This window comes from Homo sapiens, chromosome 11, assembly GCF_000001405.40.
Source record: "Homo sapiens chromosome 11, GRCh38.p14 Primary Assembly".
In the NCBI taxonomy this organism is placed as follows: Eukaryota; Metazoa; Chordata; class Mammalia; order Primates; family Hominidae; genus Homo; species Homo sapiens.
In genome coordinates, this window is record NC_000011.10 from 130,251,241 (window position 1) to 130,270,050 (window position 18,810).

Sequence of the window (18,810 nt, forward strand, 5' to 3'; positions counted from 1 at the left end):
GAGAAAAAAAGATTGAAAAGGAACAAACAAAGCCTCCAAGAAATATGGGACTATGTGAAAAGACCAAACCTACGATTGACTGAGGTCCCTGAAAGTGACAGGGAGAAATGAACCAAGCTGGAAAACACACTTCAGAATATTATCCAGGACAACTTCCCCAACCTAGCAACACAGGCCAACATTCAAATTCAGGAAATACAGAGAACATCATTAAGATACTCCTCGAGAATAGCAACCCCAAGAGACATAATCATCAGATTCTCCAAGGTTGAAATGAAGGAAAAATGTTAAGGGCAGCCAGAGAGAAAGGTCAGGTTACCTACAGAGGGAAGCCATCAGACTAACAGCGGATCTCTCTACAGAGAGTGGGGGCCAATATTCAAATTCTTAAAGAAAAGAATTTTCAATCCAGAATTTCATATCCAGACAAACTACGTTTCATAAGTGAGAAATAAAATCCTTTACAGACAAGCAAATGCTGAGGGATTTTGTAACCACCAGGGTTGCCTTACAAGAGCTCCTGAAGGAAGCACTAAATATGGAAAGGAAAAACTGGTACCAGCCACTGCAAAAACACACCAAAATACAAAGACCAATGACATTATAAAGAAACTGCATCAATGAATGTGCAAAATAACCAGCTAGCATCATGACGACAGGATCAAATTTGCATATAACAATATTAACCTTAAATGTAAATGGGCTAAATGCCCCAATTAAAAGACACAGACTGGCAAACTGGATAAAGAGTTGAGACCCATTGGTGTGCTGTGTTCAGGAGACCTATCTCATGTGGGTCAAAGACACACATAGACTCAAAATAAAGGAATGGAGGAATATTTACCAAGCAAATGGAAAGAAAAAAAAGAAGCAGGGGCTGCAATCATAGTCTCTGATAAAACAGTCTTTAAACCAACAAAGATCAAAAAAGACAAAGAAGGGCATTATATAATGGCAGACGGATCAATGCAACAAGAAGAGCTAACTATCCTAAATACATATATACGCAATACAGAAGCACCCAGATTCATAAAACAAGTTCTTAGAGACCTACAAAGAGACTTAGACCCCCACACAATAATAGTGGGAGACTTTAACACCCCACTGTCAATATTAGACAGATCAACGAGACAGAAAATTAACAAAGATATTCAGGACTTGAACTCAGCTCTGGACCAAGCAGACCTAATAGACAGCTATAGAACTCTCCACCACAAATCAACAGAATATACATTCTTCTCAGCACCGCATGGCACTTATTCTAAAATAGACCACATAATTGGAAGTAAAACACACCTCAGCAAATGCAAAAGAACGGAAATCGTAACAAACAGCCTCTCAGACCACAGTGCCATCAAATTAGAACTCAGGATTAAGAAACTCACTCTATCAGAGGTACAAAGAGGAGCTGGTACCATTCCTTCTGAAACTATTCCAATCAGTAGAAAAAGAGGGAATCCTCCCTAACTCATTTTATGAGGCCAGCACCATCCTGATACCAAAGCCTGGCAGAGACACAACAAAAAGAATTTTAGACCAATATCACTGATGAACATCAATGCAAAAATCCTCAATAAAATACTGGCAAACCAAATCCAGCAGCACATCAAAAAGCTTATCCACCATGATCAAGTGGGCTTCATCCCTGGGATGCAAGGCTGGTTCAACATATGCAAATCAATAAACGTAATCCAGCATATAAACAGAACCAAAGACAAAAACCACATGATTATATCAACAGATGCAGAAAAGGCCTTTGACAAAATTCAACAGCCCTTCATGCTAAAAACTCTCAATAAATTAGGTATTAATGGGATGTATCTCAAAATAATAAGACCTATTTATGACAAATCCACAGCCAATATCATACTGAATGGGCAAAAACTGGAAGCATTCCCTTTGAAAATTGACACAAGACAGGGATGCCCTTTCTCACTCACCACTCCTATTCAACACAGTGTTGGAAGTTCTGGCCAGGGCAATCAGGCAGGAGAAAGAAATAAAGGGTATTCAATTACGAAAAGAGGAAGTCAAATTGTCCCTGTTTGCAGATGACATGATTGTACATTTAGAAAACCCCATCGTCTCAGCCCAAAATCTCCTTAAGCTGATAAGCAACTTCAGCAAAGTCTCTGGATACAAAAATCAATGTGCAAAAATCACAAGCATTCTTATATACCAATAACAGAGAAACAGAGAGCCAAATCATGAGTGAACTCCTGTTCACAATTGCTTCAAAGAAAAGAAAATACCTAGGAATCCAACTTACAAGGGACATGAAGGAACTCTTCAAGGAGAACTATAAACCACTGCTCAATGAAATAAAAGATGATACAAACAAATGGAAGAACATTCCATGCTCATGGATAGGAAGAATGAATATCGTGAAAATGGCCATACTGCCCAAGGTAATTTATAGATTCAATGCCATCCCCATCAAGCTACCAATGACTTTCTTCACAGAATTGGAAAAAACTACTTTAAAGTTCACATGGAACCAAAAAAGAGCCTGCATTGCCAAGTTAATCCTAAGCCAAAAGAATAAAGCTGGAGGCACCACACTACCTGACTTCAAGCTATACTACAAGGCTACAGTAACCAAAACAGCATGGTACTGGTACCAAAACAGATATAGACCAATGGACCAGAACAGAGCCCTCAGAAATAATACCACACATCTACAACCATCTGATCTTTGACAAACCTGACAAAAACAAGAAATGGGGAAAGGATTCCCTATTTAATAAATGGTGCTGGGAAAACTGGCTAGCCATATGTAGAAAGGTGAAACTGGATCCCTTCCTTACACATTATACAAAAATTAATTCAAGATGGATTAAAGACTTAAATGTTAGACCTAAAACCATAAAAACCCTAGAAGAAAACCTAGGCAATACCATTCAGGACATAGGCATGGGCAAGGACTTCATCTCTAAAACACCAAAAGCAATGGCAACAAAAGCCAAAATTGACAAATGGGATCTAATTAAACTAAAGAGCTTTTGCATAGCAAAAGAAACTACCATCAGAGTGAACAGGCAACCTACAGAATGGGAGAAAATTTTTACAATCTACTCAACTGACAAAGGGCTAATATCCAGAATCTACAAAGAACTCAAACAAATTTACAAGAAAAAAACAAACAACAACAACCCCATCAGAAAGTGGGAGAAGGATATGAACAGACACTTCTCTAAAGAAGACATTTATGTAGCCAAAAGACACATGAAAAAATGCTTATCATCACTGGCCATCAGAGAAATGCAAATCAAAACCACAATGAGATACCATCTCACACCAGTTAGAATGGTGATCATTAAAAAGTCAGGAAACAACAGGTGCTGGAGAGGATGTGGAGAAATAGGAACACTTTTACACTGTTGGTGGGACTGTAAACTGGTTCAACCATTGTGGAAGTCAGTGTGGCGATTCCTCAGGGATCTAGAACTAGAAATACCATTTGACCCAGCCATCCCATTACTGGGTATATACCCAAAGGATTATAAATCATGCTGCTATAAAGACACGTGCACACGTATGTTTATTGTGGCACTATTCACAATAGCAAAGACTTGGAACCAACCCAAATGTCATCAATGATAGACAGGATTAAGAAAATGTGGCACATATACACCATGGAATACCATGCAGCCATAAAAAAGGATGGGTTCATGTCCTTTGCAGGGACATGGATGAAGCTGGAAACCATCATTCTCAGCAAACTATCACAAGGACAAAAAACCAAACACTGCATGTTCTCACTCATAGATGGGAATTGAACAATGAGAACACTTGGACACAGGAAGGGGAACATCACACACTGGGGCCTGTTGTGGGGCGGGGGGAGGGGGAAGGGATAGCATTAGGAGATATACCTAATGTAAATGACGAGTTAATAGGTGCAGCACACCAACATGGCACATGTATACATATGTAACAAATCTGCACGTTGTGCACATGTTCCCTAGAACTTAAAGTATAGTAAATAATAATATAATAATAAAAGAAACTCATTCAAAACTGCACAACTACATGGAAACTAAACAACCTGCTCCTGCATGACCACTGGGTAAATAACGAAATTAAGGCAGAAATAACGAAGTTCTCTGAAACCAATGAGAACAAAGAGACAAGGTACCAGAATCTCCGGGACATGCTAAAGCACAGTTGAGAGGGAAATTTATAGCACTAAATGCTCACATCAGAAAGTGGGAAAGATGTAAAATCTATACCTTAACATCACAATTAAAAGAACTAGAGAAGCAAGAGCAAACAAATTCAAAAGCTAGCAGAAGACAAGAAATAACTAAGAACAGAGCAGAACCGAAAGAGACACACGAAAAGCCCTTCAAAAAACTAATGAATCCAGGAGGTGGTGTTTTGAAAAGATTAACAAAATAGACAGACTGCTAACCAGATTAATAAAGAAGAGAGAGAATAATCAAATAGACACAATAAAAAATGATAAAAGGGATGTCATTATTGATCCCACAGAAATACAAACTACCATCAGGGAATACTATAAACACCTCTTCGCAAATAAACTAGAAAATCTAGACGAAAATTCCTGGACATATACACCCTCCCAAGACTAAACTAGGAAGAAGCTGAATCCCTGAATAGACCAATAACAAATTCTAAAGTTGAGGCAAAACCTCAAAAAAAAAAAAAAAAAAAAAAACACCCCTTCATGCTATAAACTCTCCTGAAATAGCCTACCAACCAAAAAAAGCCCAGCACCAGACAGATTCACCAGACAGATTCACAGCTGAATTCTACCAAAGGTACGAAGAGAAGCTGGTACCATTCCTAACAACAGAAAAAGAGGGACTCCTCCCTAACTCATTTTATGAGGTCAGCAACATCCTGATTCCAAAACCTGGCAGAGGCACAACACAAAAAAAGAAAATACCAGGCCAATATACCTGATGAACATTGATGTGAAAGTCCTCAATAAAATACTGACAAACTGAATCCAGCAGAATATCAAAAAGCTTATCCACCAGGATCGAGTTGGCTTCATCCCTGGAACGCAAGGCTGGTTCAACACACGCAGATCAATAAACGTAATCCATCACGTAAAACAGAACCAATGACAAAAACCACGATTATCTCAATAGACGCAGAAAAGGCCTTCAATAAAATTCAACACCCTGGCTGGGCGTGGTGGCTCACGCCTGTAATCCCAGCATTTTGGGACGCCGAGGCAGGCGGATCACGAGGTCAAGAGATCGAGACCATCCTGGCCAACATGGTGAAATCCCATCTCTACTAAAAATACAAAAATTAGCTGGGTGTGGTGGCATGCGTCTGTAGTCCCAGCTACTCAGGAGGCTGAGGCAGAAGAATTGCTTGAATGAGCTGAGATCACACCACTGCACTCCAGCCTGGTGACAGAGTGAGACTCCGTCTCAAAAATAAATAAATAAATAAAAATTAAAAATAAAAATTCAACACCCCTTCATGCTAAAAACTCTGAATAAACTAGGTATTGATGGAACATATCTCAAAATATTAAGAGCTATTTATGACAAATCCATAGACAGTATCATACCGAATGAGTAAAAGCAGAAAGCATTCCCTTTGAAAACCGGCACAAGACAAGGATGCTCTCTCTCACCACCCCTATTCAACACAGTACTGGAAGTTCTGGCCAGAGCAATCAGGCAAGAGAAAGAAAGAGTATTCAAATAGGAAGAGAGGAAGTCAAGGGTATTCAAATAAGAAGAGAGAAGGTCAAATTGTCTCTGTTTGCAGATGACATAATTGTATATTTAGAAAACCCCACTGTCTCTGCCCCAAAACTCAAGCTGATAAACAACTTCAGCAAAGTCTCGGGATACAAAATCAATGTGCAAAAATCACAAGCGTTCCTATACACCAGTAATAGACAAGCAGAGAGCCAAATCATGAGTGAACTTCCATTCATAATTGCTACAAAGAAAATAAAATACCCAAAAACACAACTTGCATGTTCAGCACATGCATCCCAGATCTTAAAAAAAAAAAAAAAAAAAAAGAAAAAGTACATCTTAATCCTTGCTACCAATGTATGTGACCTTATTTGGAAATAGGGTCTTAGCAGATGTAATCAAGTTAAGATGAGGTCATGCTGGATTAGGGTGGGACCTGAATCCAATGACTGGTGTCCTTTTAGGGAGAGAGAGATTTGAAGCCAGTGGCAAAACAGAGAGACAGGGAAGGTCATGTGAAGACGAACGCATATACTAAAGCACAATATCATATACTGGAGCTACAAGCCAAAGAACACCAAGGATTGTGGGCAGCTGCCACAGGCTGGAAGAGACAAGGAAGGATTCTTCCCTACAATCTTCAAAGAGAGAAAGATCCTTCAAAGGGAACTAACACCTGTCGTTCAGATTTCTGGCCTCTGACTATGAGAGAATAAATTTTTTTTAAACCATTCAGTTTGCGGTACTTTGTTGCAGCAGCCCAGGGAAACTCACACAGAGGGTAAAAGCACAAGAAACTAACAAAGTTAATATGGTCTTCCCGGTTCTCCAATATTTTGGACAAATCTTTATTATTCACTAGTGGCTTTTCTTCTATCCCTTCCCAAACCTGAATATAGGTATTCCCCAAGGTATCCCCTTGGTTTTGGCTCTTCTGTTTTTCCTATTGAGATTGAATTTGCCACTACTAGTAGAAAAGTCCCAAGTTGGGAATCTCACTTATCTTTTCTACTGCTTTTGAAATGACACTGCTTGATCATCATCCAAGCACAATTTACACAGAAGTGACCTTGATAATTTACTCTCAAAACTGGATTCCCACCACCTTCCACTGATTTTCATACGGCACTAACTACATTTAATAGATGCTAAAATGCTATTGATTCATATGATTGCCATTATTCTCTATAGCACTAAGGAAGAAAAAAGCAACTGTAGAAGACTGCCAACTGTAAGACATATCTGGATTCAGAAATAACAAAATATGAAAAATTGTGACTTAGAATCAATGGAATATAATAAAGTGTTACCATTATTTCCTAGTCATCAGAGTACTTTAACCTCTCCTGTTCTTTCAATATACATATTCAGTATCATCAGGTACTAAGTCTTTCTTTACAAAGTCTTGTAATATCTATTTTCTTTCACATGGTTTTAAGTCTTCATTCACACCAAGATAAGTGCACTGCAATTGGTCTCTGAGACTGTCTCTGTAAAACCAAACTCACTGCATGTCAATAACAGTTTTCCTAAAATATCTGCATGTTTTTGTTTTTATCCCTTTAATGTAGACTCCTTACTACCTACCACTAAGATAAAATCCAAGCTTACTTGGCCTACTTGTGGCAGACACTGCTAGTTGCATACTCAATATCCATTTTGCTCTAATTTTGTTCAAGGCATTTAGGTACCCAACTAATATACATTATCTTCCCAGATTCCCTTGCAGCTAGGAAAGACTATGTGACACAGACTAGCAGAAGTTTTTTAGGGATTTCTGAGAACATAGGTGCTTTCTTGATACAAAGCATTGCCCCTTTCTAGAATACAAAGCTGAAGATGAAATGAGCATCTTATGGATGAAACCAACAAAGTAAAGATGGCAGTTTATAAATATACAAGTTGCCTAGGCCACTGATTATATTGCAGATTCACTGTACCAGCCCTGGACTTTTATTCCTGAACACTTTGTGATAAAAAATCACAAGCATTCCTGTGCACCAGTAACAGAGAGCCAAATCACGAGTGAACTCCCATTCACAATTACTACAAAGAGAATAAAATACCTAGGAATATAACTTACAAGGGATGTGAAAGACCTCTTCAAGAACTACAAACCACTGCTCAAGAAAATAAGAGAGGACACAAATAAATGGGAAGACATTCCATGCTCATGGATAGGAAGAATCAATATCGTGAAAATGGCCATATTGCCCAAAGTAATTTATAGATTCAGTGCTATCCCCATCAAGTTACCATTGACTTTCTTCACGGAATTGGAAAAAACTCCTTTAAATTTCATATGGAAATTTAATGAGATACCATCTCACACCAGTTAGAATGGTGATCATTAAAAAGTCTGGAAACAACAGATGCTGTTGAGGATGTGGAGAAATAGGAAATGCTTTTACACTGTTGGTGGGACTGTAAACTAGTTCAACCATTGTGGAAGACAGTGTGGCGATTCCTCATGAATCTAGAAACAGAAATACCATTCGACCCAGCCATCCCATTACTGGGTATACACCCAAAGGATTATAAATCTTTCTACTATAAAGACACATGCGCACATATGTTTACTGCGGCACTATTCACAATAGCAAAGACTTGGAACCAACCCAAATCCCTGTCAATAATAGATTGGATAAAGAAAATGTGGCACATGTACACCATGAAATACTATGCAGCCATAAAAAAGAATGAGTTCATGTCCTTTGCAGGGACATGGATGAAGCTGGAAACCATCATTCTCCGCAAACTATCACAAGAACAGAAAACCAAACACCACATGTTCTTACTAATAAGTGGGAGTTAAACAATGAGAACCCATGTACACAGGGAGGGGGACATCACACAGTGGGGCCTGTTGGGGGATGGGGGGCTAGGGGAGAGATAGCATTAGGATAAATACGTAACGCAGATGAAGGGTTGATGGGTGCAGCAAACCACCATGGCATGTGTATACCTATGTAACAAAACTGAACGTTCTGCACATGTACCCCAGAATTTGAATTAAAAAAAAGAAAAAAATACTGCCAGAGAAAACAACTATAAATCATTTTATTTTCAATCTAAAAAGATAAATAAATAAATAATAAAGAAAAAATAAATAAAACTCTGCTACAGTTAAGTTACTGCAGAAGGGATTCCATCACCTGCACTTAAATGCAACCCCTACTGAAACTAGGATTCGAGGCTCTTTACAGCCTGCGCTCAACCACTCCTTTTGTCTGATCTCCCACTATTCCCTACAGTTTCAGGCATCTGTACTTACTTACATCATTTTGCACTGAATTCACTGTTTACCAAACACACAATGCTCTTCCATACCTCTGTGTTTGCATATATGTTCTGTGTTTTTATGTTTTCACAGAAATGACATTCCCACACTTGGGTAAACTCTTACTTATTGCATAAGACCCACTCAAACATATAGTGTAACTTGCTCTTTCCTTTGTTGCAACCATACTACTTTGTTCACACCTCCAGATGAGCACTTTTGATAGTTCACTGTAATCATTTACTTTCATATCTGCTTCCCCAATTAGATGATTAACCTAATTGTCATTGCAGGGACTATGTGTTTTTCTTTATGTATCATAAATGTTTGCTTGGCACATGGTAAGTTTTCAATACATATTTTAATGAAGAATAAAACACAAACTGGATTTAACTGCTTTTTTGTGTATGTGTATCTGCCTTTGTCCCAGCAGATACCATTCAATTATTTTTATCTTCCCCAATGTGCAACTTGTAAAAAATAAACGATAGTGCTAATAGCATCTCAAGCAAATCCAGTTACCATGTTTTACTCTTCTTTATATTTCCTATATGACCGAGCACAAAACTTTTTATCTAACAGGAACTTAAAAATGTTTGAATTGACTTTATAGCACCAAGAAAAACACAGAAGGCATTATACCTATAGAGGAAGACTGTGGACTAATCAGAAGGTCCTCTTGGACTTGTTCACTTCCTGGAACTGTCTGCTGATCACTCAGCGAACTCTGAGATGCACTGACAGGCTGGGACACTTCCTCATGGACCTCCTCATCACTTAATCTTTCTACTTTGACCCGGACATCTTCTTCGGTACCTAAAGGCAAGGTAGTTTTTGTGCTCTCACAAGTCACATAATCAGCCATTCTTCTACCGGTCTCAGATGGGCCAGGTAATTCTAAAGTCCGGGTATTTTCTGCTTGCTTAACTTTCTCAGGCTGAATCCTTCGATCAATTCCAAAAGGAAAAGTCCAAGGAAAAGCTAAGGAAGAGTCAACTGGTTGGTTTCTATTTTCTGAGTAGGAAGCTGAAGAATTCAATACCTGGGGTGAGCTTGTTTGTGTGCCACACTTTACAGGACTTTCAGGAGACATAACAATGTAGCTTTTGCGCTTTCTCCGGGATTCTCGGCAGACAGGAATGGTTCTTTCTACCACACTGCACTCTGAGGACACGGGAGAAATGCTCCCATCTCGAGAAGTAAAATTGCAGTTAGAATTATTTTCTTGTCCAGCATCTAGACCCTTTTCAGGTTGGCTGTTGGGTGTATTCCATAAAATGCTTGATTTCATGAACTCTGAGCAGGTGCTGGCAACACTGAACATTTGCATATAGCTGGCTGCTGCTAGAACATCAATAATATTTTCTGTGTTAATTGATAGAGTGGCTGTGTAAGCATATTCTAAAAGAGGTATAAAGCCAGTCACTGTAACATGATGCAGATCCAACACATTCTTGTTCTCATCCTCGGCTTGGCCTACAAGTTTGGTGCGAAAGAAATCACTGCAAGCTGCTAGTACCACCTTATGTGCCCGGAAGATTTTGTCCTGGACACGAATAGTGATATCACAAAAATGTCCATCATTTCGCAGCATATTTAGCTTTCCAAGCATTTCCTGGCTGTGGGAAGAGGAGCTATGAGTAAATGTTTTCACACCCATCTTTTACTTCCTCTTCTACAGATGCTCTTCAAGGATGCAAATAAATCAGAAATGTCCTAAAAAATACATAAAATAAAGCATTAATTGATATTTTAGTGGTTTAAAATGTGATTTAGATCATTTTCATGTGGCCACTGTACTAAATTAAAAAGCTGAAAGATGGTAGTGACAGAGAAACTTCAAGGTAGGGACTGTATAGAAATATATTCTCCTTATCTGCCTTCCAAACTGTCCAATCAGTGAAGTCTGTGAACCAATGTTTTTTTTTGTTTTGTTTTGTTTTTGAGACAGAGTCTTGCTCTGTTGCCCAGGCTGGAGTGCAGCGGGGTGGTCTTGGCTCACTGCAACCTCTGCCTCCCGGGTTCAAGCAATTCTCCTGCCTCAGCCTCCCGAGTAGCTGGGATTACAGGCACCCGCCCTCATGCCTGGCTAAGTTTTGTATTTTTGTAGAGATGGGGTTTCACCATGTTGGCCAGGCTGGTCTTGAACTCCTGACCTCAGGTGATAGGCCTGCCTAGGCCTCCCAAAGTGCTGGGATTACAGGTGTGAGCCACCATGCCCGGCCTGTGAACCAGCGTTTTAATGAGCTGCAGGGCTGCAACAGTTTGTAAATAATGACAATTATAGAGTGTCTTCTATGTGCCAGACAGTATTTGAAATGCTTCACATTTAATAGTTAGTTGATTGTCATCATATCTCTATCAGTAGGCGTATTATCATTCCTGTTTCTAAATGTGAGCATGCAGCAGGCAATGCCAGTGTAAACACTGAACAATCCATTACATAATCATCCCTGTTAATGTTTTATGCAGGTAAATGTATAGAGGAAAAGAAAGATGGGAAAAAGAAAAAAAGGAAGTGGAAAGAAAAAAAAAAAGATTTCAAGATGAATTTAAAAAGGTTGCCAGGTGTGGTGGCTCACGTCTGTAATCCCAGCACTTTGGGAGGCCAAGGCAGGCGGATTGCTTGAGCTCAGGAGTCCAAGACCAGCCTGGCCAACATGGCAAAACCCTGTCTCTACAAAAAAACACATAAAAATTAGGCGGGTGTGGTGGCATGGGCCTGTAGTCCCAGCTATTCGGGACGCTGATGTGGAAGGATCACTTGAGCCTGGGAGGTGGAGGTTGCAGTGAGCCGAGACTGCACCACTGCACTCCACCCTTGGTGACAGAGTAAGACCCCGTCTAAAAAAATATAAGTCACAGACTATTCTAACTTGAGAAGACAAAATGATCAATTTGAGACTGTTCCATGTCAGACTTCACAAAAGGATAAGGCATAAATCTCTGTTCCAAAGCAGCCAGGTAAAGCTACTGAAATAATTATCTTGACCATAATTAGTAACAGAAGTTCGAATGTAAACTGAGTGCTCCACATACCCTTCCTGAAGTCAACTGACCACAATGAGACACTAGACAGCCAGGGACTGGTCTACGCAAACCATCATGTAACATATTTGCTGATTTAGGTCTCACAAAAATGAGATGAAAGAAAGAAAATGGGAGGGCTATATATAAAGCGTTTTGTTCATTTATTGCATCCCAGGAGACTAGCTTCTGCTTTTAAAGCATGGCCTTCGAGAGTGCTTACTTTGGGATCATGTGGCTGAGGGAAGAAACATGCTTTCAGAGCAAGTGAATTAGTTATAATCCAGGGACCATCTGCATGAACAAAGGTGTGAAGGCAAGAAATTAAACAGCATATTTGGAAGACATGTGCATCGGAGTATTAAAATGAAACCATTTCCATCTTGAATAGGCCCCAAACAACAGATAATGTACTACGTTCTCAAGTGAGGCACAAGGGCACCTTATACAAGGGGTAGTGGAAAACTATTTTCAACCTTGAGTTACATCCACCTTCAGTCATCTTCCGTGTTCAAAGAGTAGATATGAAAAGGATTTTTGCTGAGAGTAATCAGTTTGTTGTGAGTTGCAAACCCCATTCTACTTCCCTGCTTACTCCCCTGCAGGGAAAGGGGCTTCAAGGCATGCTGATCCTTTACCTCAAATCTATGGAAAATATGTTACAACTGAAAAAACTCTGAAGGGCACATAAGTCTGATTTAAACAACAATCAAGGCCAAGACGTATGCCTACTATCTCCCAACAGTATATAAAGGCATCACAGTGGAGTGGTTGAAAGCACAGACTCTGGAGCCAGAATGCTCACTCTGCATGCTGGTTCTGCTATTTTTACCTGTGTCACCTTAGGCAAGTCATTAAACAAACCCTCTGTATCTTACTATATTCAGTGGTATAAGAAATATAACACAACACACCTCATAGAGTTCTGAGGATTAAATGACCTAATATATGTTAAGTGTTTAGAATAGTAACTAGTAACATAATCAATGCTATAGAAACATTAGTTGCTGCTGCTACTAACATTGCTATCAAAGACCTTTTCTTCCTGAAAGGGCCAGAAACCACAGCCAGCAAATGAAGAGAAGTGAAAGAAGAAAGTTGGGGAAGAGAGAAAGAAAGAAAAAGGAGGTAAACCACACCTAACTCTTCAACTGCAGGCCTGTAGTAGGCCTGAGGTGGGAAAGGAGGGAAAGCTTTTACTCTAAGTTTATTAGTTCTTGAAAAGATTGCTGGTATTTCCTGAAAGTGATCAGAACAGTTATTAAAACTTACTCTCCAGGAAGCTGGAGAACTAACTCCACAGAAGAAATAAAATGGCTCATGAGTACCTCCCGTAAGTCATGCTTGTTCACATATATGGTACGAAGTCTGATATACTTAGAAGTATGGGATGAGAAGAAGGTGATGATGAGGAAATGCATTCTCTACCATATATTTATCACATGCATTTCCCAATATGTCTGCAGAAACTCAGGCCCAAGATATGCTCCATAATACAAACTTATATGGACAAATATATTTTGGATACAGAGACATACCTCATCTTCTTGCACTTTGCTTTATTAAACTTTGCAAATATTGTGTTTTTTACAAATTGGAAATTTGTGGCAACCCTGCTGTCAGCAAGTCTACTGGTGCCACTTTCCACCAGCTTGTGCTCACTTCACATTTGTGTCACATTTTGGTAATTCTTGCAATATTTCAAAATTTTTCATTATTATTATATCTGTTATGGTGATCTGTGATCAGTAATCTTTGATGTTACTACTGTAATTGTTTTGGGGTACCACAAACTGCACCCATATAAGACAGTGAACTTAATGTTGTGTGTGTTATGACTGATTTACCCACTAGTCATTCCCCCATCTCTCTCCTCCTCCTCAGGTCTCCATATTCCATGAAAAACAAGGATATTGAAATTAGACCAATTAATAACCCTACGATGGCCTCTAAATGACCAAGTGAAAGGAAGAGCTGCACGTTTCTCACTTTATTTTTTTTTATGAGACGGAATTTTGCTCTGTCACCCAGGCTGGAGTGCAGTGGCACAATCTTGGCTCACTGCAACCTCCACCTCCCAGATTCAAGCAATTCTCCTTTCAGCTTCCAGAGTAGCTGGAAATACAGGTGCATACAACAAAGCCCAGCTAATTTTTGTATTTTTAGTAGAGAGGGGGTTTCACCATGTTGGCCAGCCTGGTCTCGAACTCCTGACCTCAAGTGATCCACCCGCCTCATGTTTTTCACTTTAAATGAAATGCTAGAAATGATTAAGTTTAGTGAGGAAGGCATGTTGAGAGCTGAGAGAGCCTGAAAGCTAGACCTTTTATACCAAACAGCTAGCCAAGCTGTGATAGCAAAGGACATATTCTTGAAGGAAATTAAAAGTGCTACTCCAGTGCACACACAAATGATGAGAAAGTAAAACAGCCTTATTGCTGACATGCAGAAAGTTTGCCTGGTGTGCACAGAAGATGAAACCAACCACAATATTCCTTTAAATCAAAGCCTAATCCAGCGCAAGGCCATAACTCTCTTCAATTCTATGAAGGCTGGGAGGGATGAGGAAGCTGCAGAAGAAAAGTTGGAAGCTAGCAGAAGTTGATTCATGAGGTTGAAGGAAAGAAGCCATCTCCATAACATAAAAGTGCAAGGTGAACCCACAAGTGCTGATGTCGAAGCTGCAACAAGTTATCCAGAAGAGCTAGTTAAGATCATTGACGAAGGTGGCTACACTAAACAGCAGGTTTTCAATACAGACAACACAGCCTTACACTGGAAACAGACACATTTAGGAATTTCACAGCTAGAGAGAAGTCAATGCCTGGCTTCAAAACTTCAAAGGACGGGATGCCTCTCTTGTAAGCGGCTAATGCAGCTGGTGACTTAACTGGAAGCCAATATTCATTTACCATTCTGAAAATCCTAGACCCCTTAACGATTAGGCTCAATCTATTCTGCCTGTGCTCTGTAAGTGAAACAACACAGCCTGATGACAGCACATCTATTTACAGCATGGTTTACTGAATGTTTTAAAAGCCCACTGTTGAGGCCGACTGCTCACAAGACTGCTTTCAGTATATTACTGCTTTCCAACAGTGCATCTGGTCATCGAGGAGCTCTGATGAGGATGTACATGACTGATGTTGTTTTCATGGCTGCTAATATAACATCCATTCTGCAGCCTATAGATCAGGGAGTCATTTTGATTTTCAAGCCTTATTATTTAAGGAATACATTTCAAAAGGCTATAGCTGCCATAGATACTGATTCCTCTGACGGATCTGCACAAAGCAAAGTGAAAACTTTCTGGAAAAGATTCATCATTCTAGATGCCATTAAGACTGTTTGACATTCATGGGAGGAGGTCAAAATATCAACATTAACAGGAGTTTGGACAAGATTGATTCCAGCCTTCATGGATGACTTTGAGAGGTTCAAGACTTTCACAAAGGAAGTAACTACAGATGAGTTGGAAACTGCAAGAGAACTAGAATTCAAAATGGAGTCTGAATTGCTGCAATCTCATGATAAAACTTGAACAGATAAGGAGTTGCTCCTTGTGGATAAGCAAAGACAGTGGTTTCTTGAGTTGGAGTCTACTCCTGGTGAAGATACTAGGAACACTGTTGAAATGACAATAAATGATTTAGAAAACTACATACACCTTGTTGATAAAGCAGTGGCAGGGTTTCAGAGGATCAAGTCCAATTTAAAAAAATTTTTAATTAAAAATTTTTTTTAGCTGGGCGCAATGGCTCACCCTATAATCCCAGTACTTCAGGAGGCTGAGGTGGGTGGATGGCTTGAGCTCAAGAGTTCAAGACCAGCCTGGCAACAGGGTGAAACACCATCTCTACAAAAAATACAAAAATTAGCTCAGTGTGACGTCACATGCCTGTAGTCCCAGCTACTCAGGAGGCTGAGACTGGAGGACTGCATGAGCTTGGGAAGCAGAGGTTACAGTGAGCCGAGATCAAGCCACTGTACATCAACCTGGGCGACAGAGTGAGACCCTGCCTCTAAAACAAATTCAGAAAAGCTGGCAGAGGTTGGTTGGTTCATGAGGTTGAAGGAAAGAAGCCATCCTCATAGCATAAAAGTGCAAGGTAAAGCTGCAAGTACTGATGTCAAAGCTGCAAGTTATCCAGAAGAGCTAGGTAAGATTATAATTTTTGTTTTAGAGGCAGGGTCTCACTCTGTCACCCAGGCTGGAGTACAGTGGCATGATCATGGCTCACCGTAGCCTTGAAGTCCTAGGGTCAAGCAATCCTCCTGTCTTAGCCACTCAAGCATCTAGGACTATGGTGTGTATCACCACGCCTGGCTAATTTTTAAATTTTTTTATTTCTTTAGGTAGAGATAGGGGTATCCCTATGTTGCCCAGGCTGGTCTCGAACTCCTGGCCTCAGCATTGCAAAGTGCTGAGATTACAGGTTTGAACTACTACACCTAGCAATCAACTCTGATTTTGAAAGAAGTCCTTCTATAAGTAATATGCTATCAAACAGCATCACATCCTGTAGAGAAATCCTCGTGAAGGCCGGGCGCAGTGGCTCATGCCTGTAATCCCAGCACTTTGGCACTTTGGGAGGCCAGGGCAGGTGGATCCCCTGAGGTCAGGAGTTCGAGACCAACCTGGACAACATGGTGAAATCCTGTTTCTACCAAAAATACAAAAAATTAGCCGGGTGTGGTGGCAGGCACCTGTAATCCCAGCTACTCGGGAGGCTGAGGCAGAACTGCTTGAACCCGGGAGGTGGAGGCTGCAGTGAACCAAGATCATGCCATGCACTCCAGACTGGGTGACAGAGTGAGACTCTGTCTACAAAAAAAAAAAAAAAGAGAAATCCTCACGAAAGAAAGATCCAGGTTGGGTGCAGGGGCTCATGCCTGTAATCCCAGCACTTTGGGAGGCTGAGGCAGGAAGACTACTTGAGCCCAGGAGCTCAATGCAATGGAGTGAGACCCACGTCTAATTTAAAAAAAAAAAAAAGCGGGGGGTGGAGTGGGGTAGGGGAAGAAAGATTCAACCCATGTGGCAAACTTCATCACTGTCTCATTAAACAAACTGCCACAACTCCAATCTTCAGTGACCTCCATCCAGAGCAGTAGCACCCATCAATATCAAGGCAAGACCTTCCACCAACAAAAAGATTATGACTTGCTGAAAGCTCAGATAATTGCTAGAATTTTTTAGCAACAAAGTATTTTTAAGATATTTGAAAAATGTGCCAAGTATAGTGGCATGCAGCTGTAATCCCAGCTACTCAGGAAGTTAAGGTGGGAAGAGCCCTTGACTCCAACCTGGGCAACACAGCAAGACCCTGTCTCAAATTTTATTTTATTTTATTTTGAGACAGAGTCTCACTCTGTCACCCAGGCTGGAGTACAGTGGCACTATCTTGGCTCACTGCAACCTCCGCCTCCCGGGTTCAAGCAATTCTCCTGCTTCAGCCTCCTGAGTAGTTGCGAATACAGTCGCCAGACACTACACCTGGCTAATTTTTTGTAATTTTAGTAGAGATGGGGTTTCACCATGTTGGCCAGGCTGGTCTCGAACTCCTGACCTCATGTGATCCACCTGACTCAGCCTCCCAAAGCGCTGGGATTACAGGTGTGAGCCATCACGCTCGGCCTCAAATTTTAAGAGAGAGAGAGAGAGAAAAAAAGAAAATGTCATACATAATATGGACAGTTGAGAAACCACAAGGTATAACCTGAAGTTTTTATAAGTTAGCCAAGTCTCTTTAAAAAAAAAAAAATCTCGCCAGGCACGGTGGCTCATGCCTGTAATCCCAGCACTTTGGGAGGCCAAAGCGGGTGGATCACCTGAGGTCAGGGGTCAAGACCAGCCTGGCCAACATGGTGAAACCCCATCTCTACTAAAAATACAAAATTAGCTGGGAGTGGTGGTGTGTGCCTGTAATCCTAGCTAGTCGGGAGGCTGAGGCAGGTGAATCACTTGAACCCGGGAGGTGGAGATTGCAGTGAGCCGAGATCACACTATTGCACTCCAGCCTGGGCAAAAAGAGTGAAACTCCACTAAATAATTAATTAATTAATCTCATTTATCTCTGTGTGTAGATGAATATGTATATGTGTAGTTATAAGTTTAATTTGGAGGTCATTTAAAATTCTTGAGTAAAGATCAGTATTAACTACAATTACTAATTTAGACTTTGTGCAGCATTTACAAGTAATAAAAATGTACTTGTAGCAGTTTGCAATTTGAACTATTCAGTAATTCAGGAAGTTTACTTCCCACCCATTTTATTCCAAATTACTGATGAAATACTGCTATCACACATTCTTGTGAAAGTGGTATGTTGCTAAACAACATATAATTTAAGGGAATACAAAAAAGAACCTACAATTTTTTTTTACAGTTGGGTTGAAACAATTTTGCCAAATAAGGTATACAGCCTAGTTGATAAAGTAGATTGGTTTAAGTTAGACAAATCTTAGGTTTTAAATTTTCACTTCCCCATTTACCAGCCAGGCATTAAATCTGAGTCAAGTTGTTCACCTCTCTAATGATGCTTCTGTTTTTTTTCTCATCTGAAAAACAGGAATCATAGAAATTATACTTCCAAGATAGCCAAGAGGATTAAATTAGCACAATTCCTGGCATAAAGCAAGCATTCAATAAACGTTAGCTATTTATTCACACTAGAAAAAGTGTGAACAAAAATTAAATGTAGATCAAATTTTAAAATGTCTATTTTTCACAGCATTTTAAAAACCTGTATTTTGATATATAGATTAGCTGATAAAAATTATCAGAAGATTTGAGATTAAAACGAAGTA

At 40.0% G+C, this 18,810-nt stretch overlaps 1 protein-coding gene across 24 annotated transcripts in view; it reads right to left on the reverse strand.

Moving 5' to 3' along the window:
• The window catches only part of ZBTB44 (zinc finger and BTB domain containing 44), an 88,241-nt gene that overhangs the window by 24,564 nt on the left and 44,867 nt on the right, over positions 1-18,810 (reverse strand). For 22 of the 24 annotated variants that reach the window (XR_007062477.1, XR_007062476.1, NR_163264.1 and 19 more), the window contains exon 2: positions 9,616-10,689. The exons of the other annotated variants lie outside the window; for them this stretch is intronic. Coding sequence is in view for 17 of the 22 variants with exons in the window: in XM_047426846.1 (XP_047282802.1) it covers positions 9,616-10,633 (1,018 nt within the window). In the remaining 5 variants the exon portion in view is untranslated. The remainder of the gene's footprint in view (positions 1-9,615; positions 10,690-18,810) is intronic. 24 annotated transcript variants of the gene reach the window in all.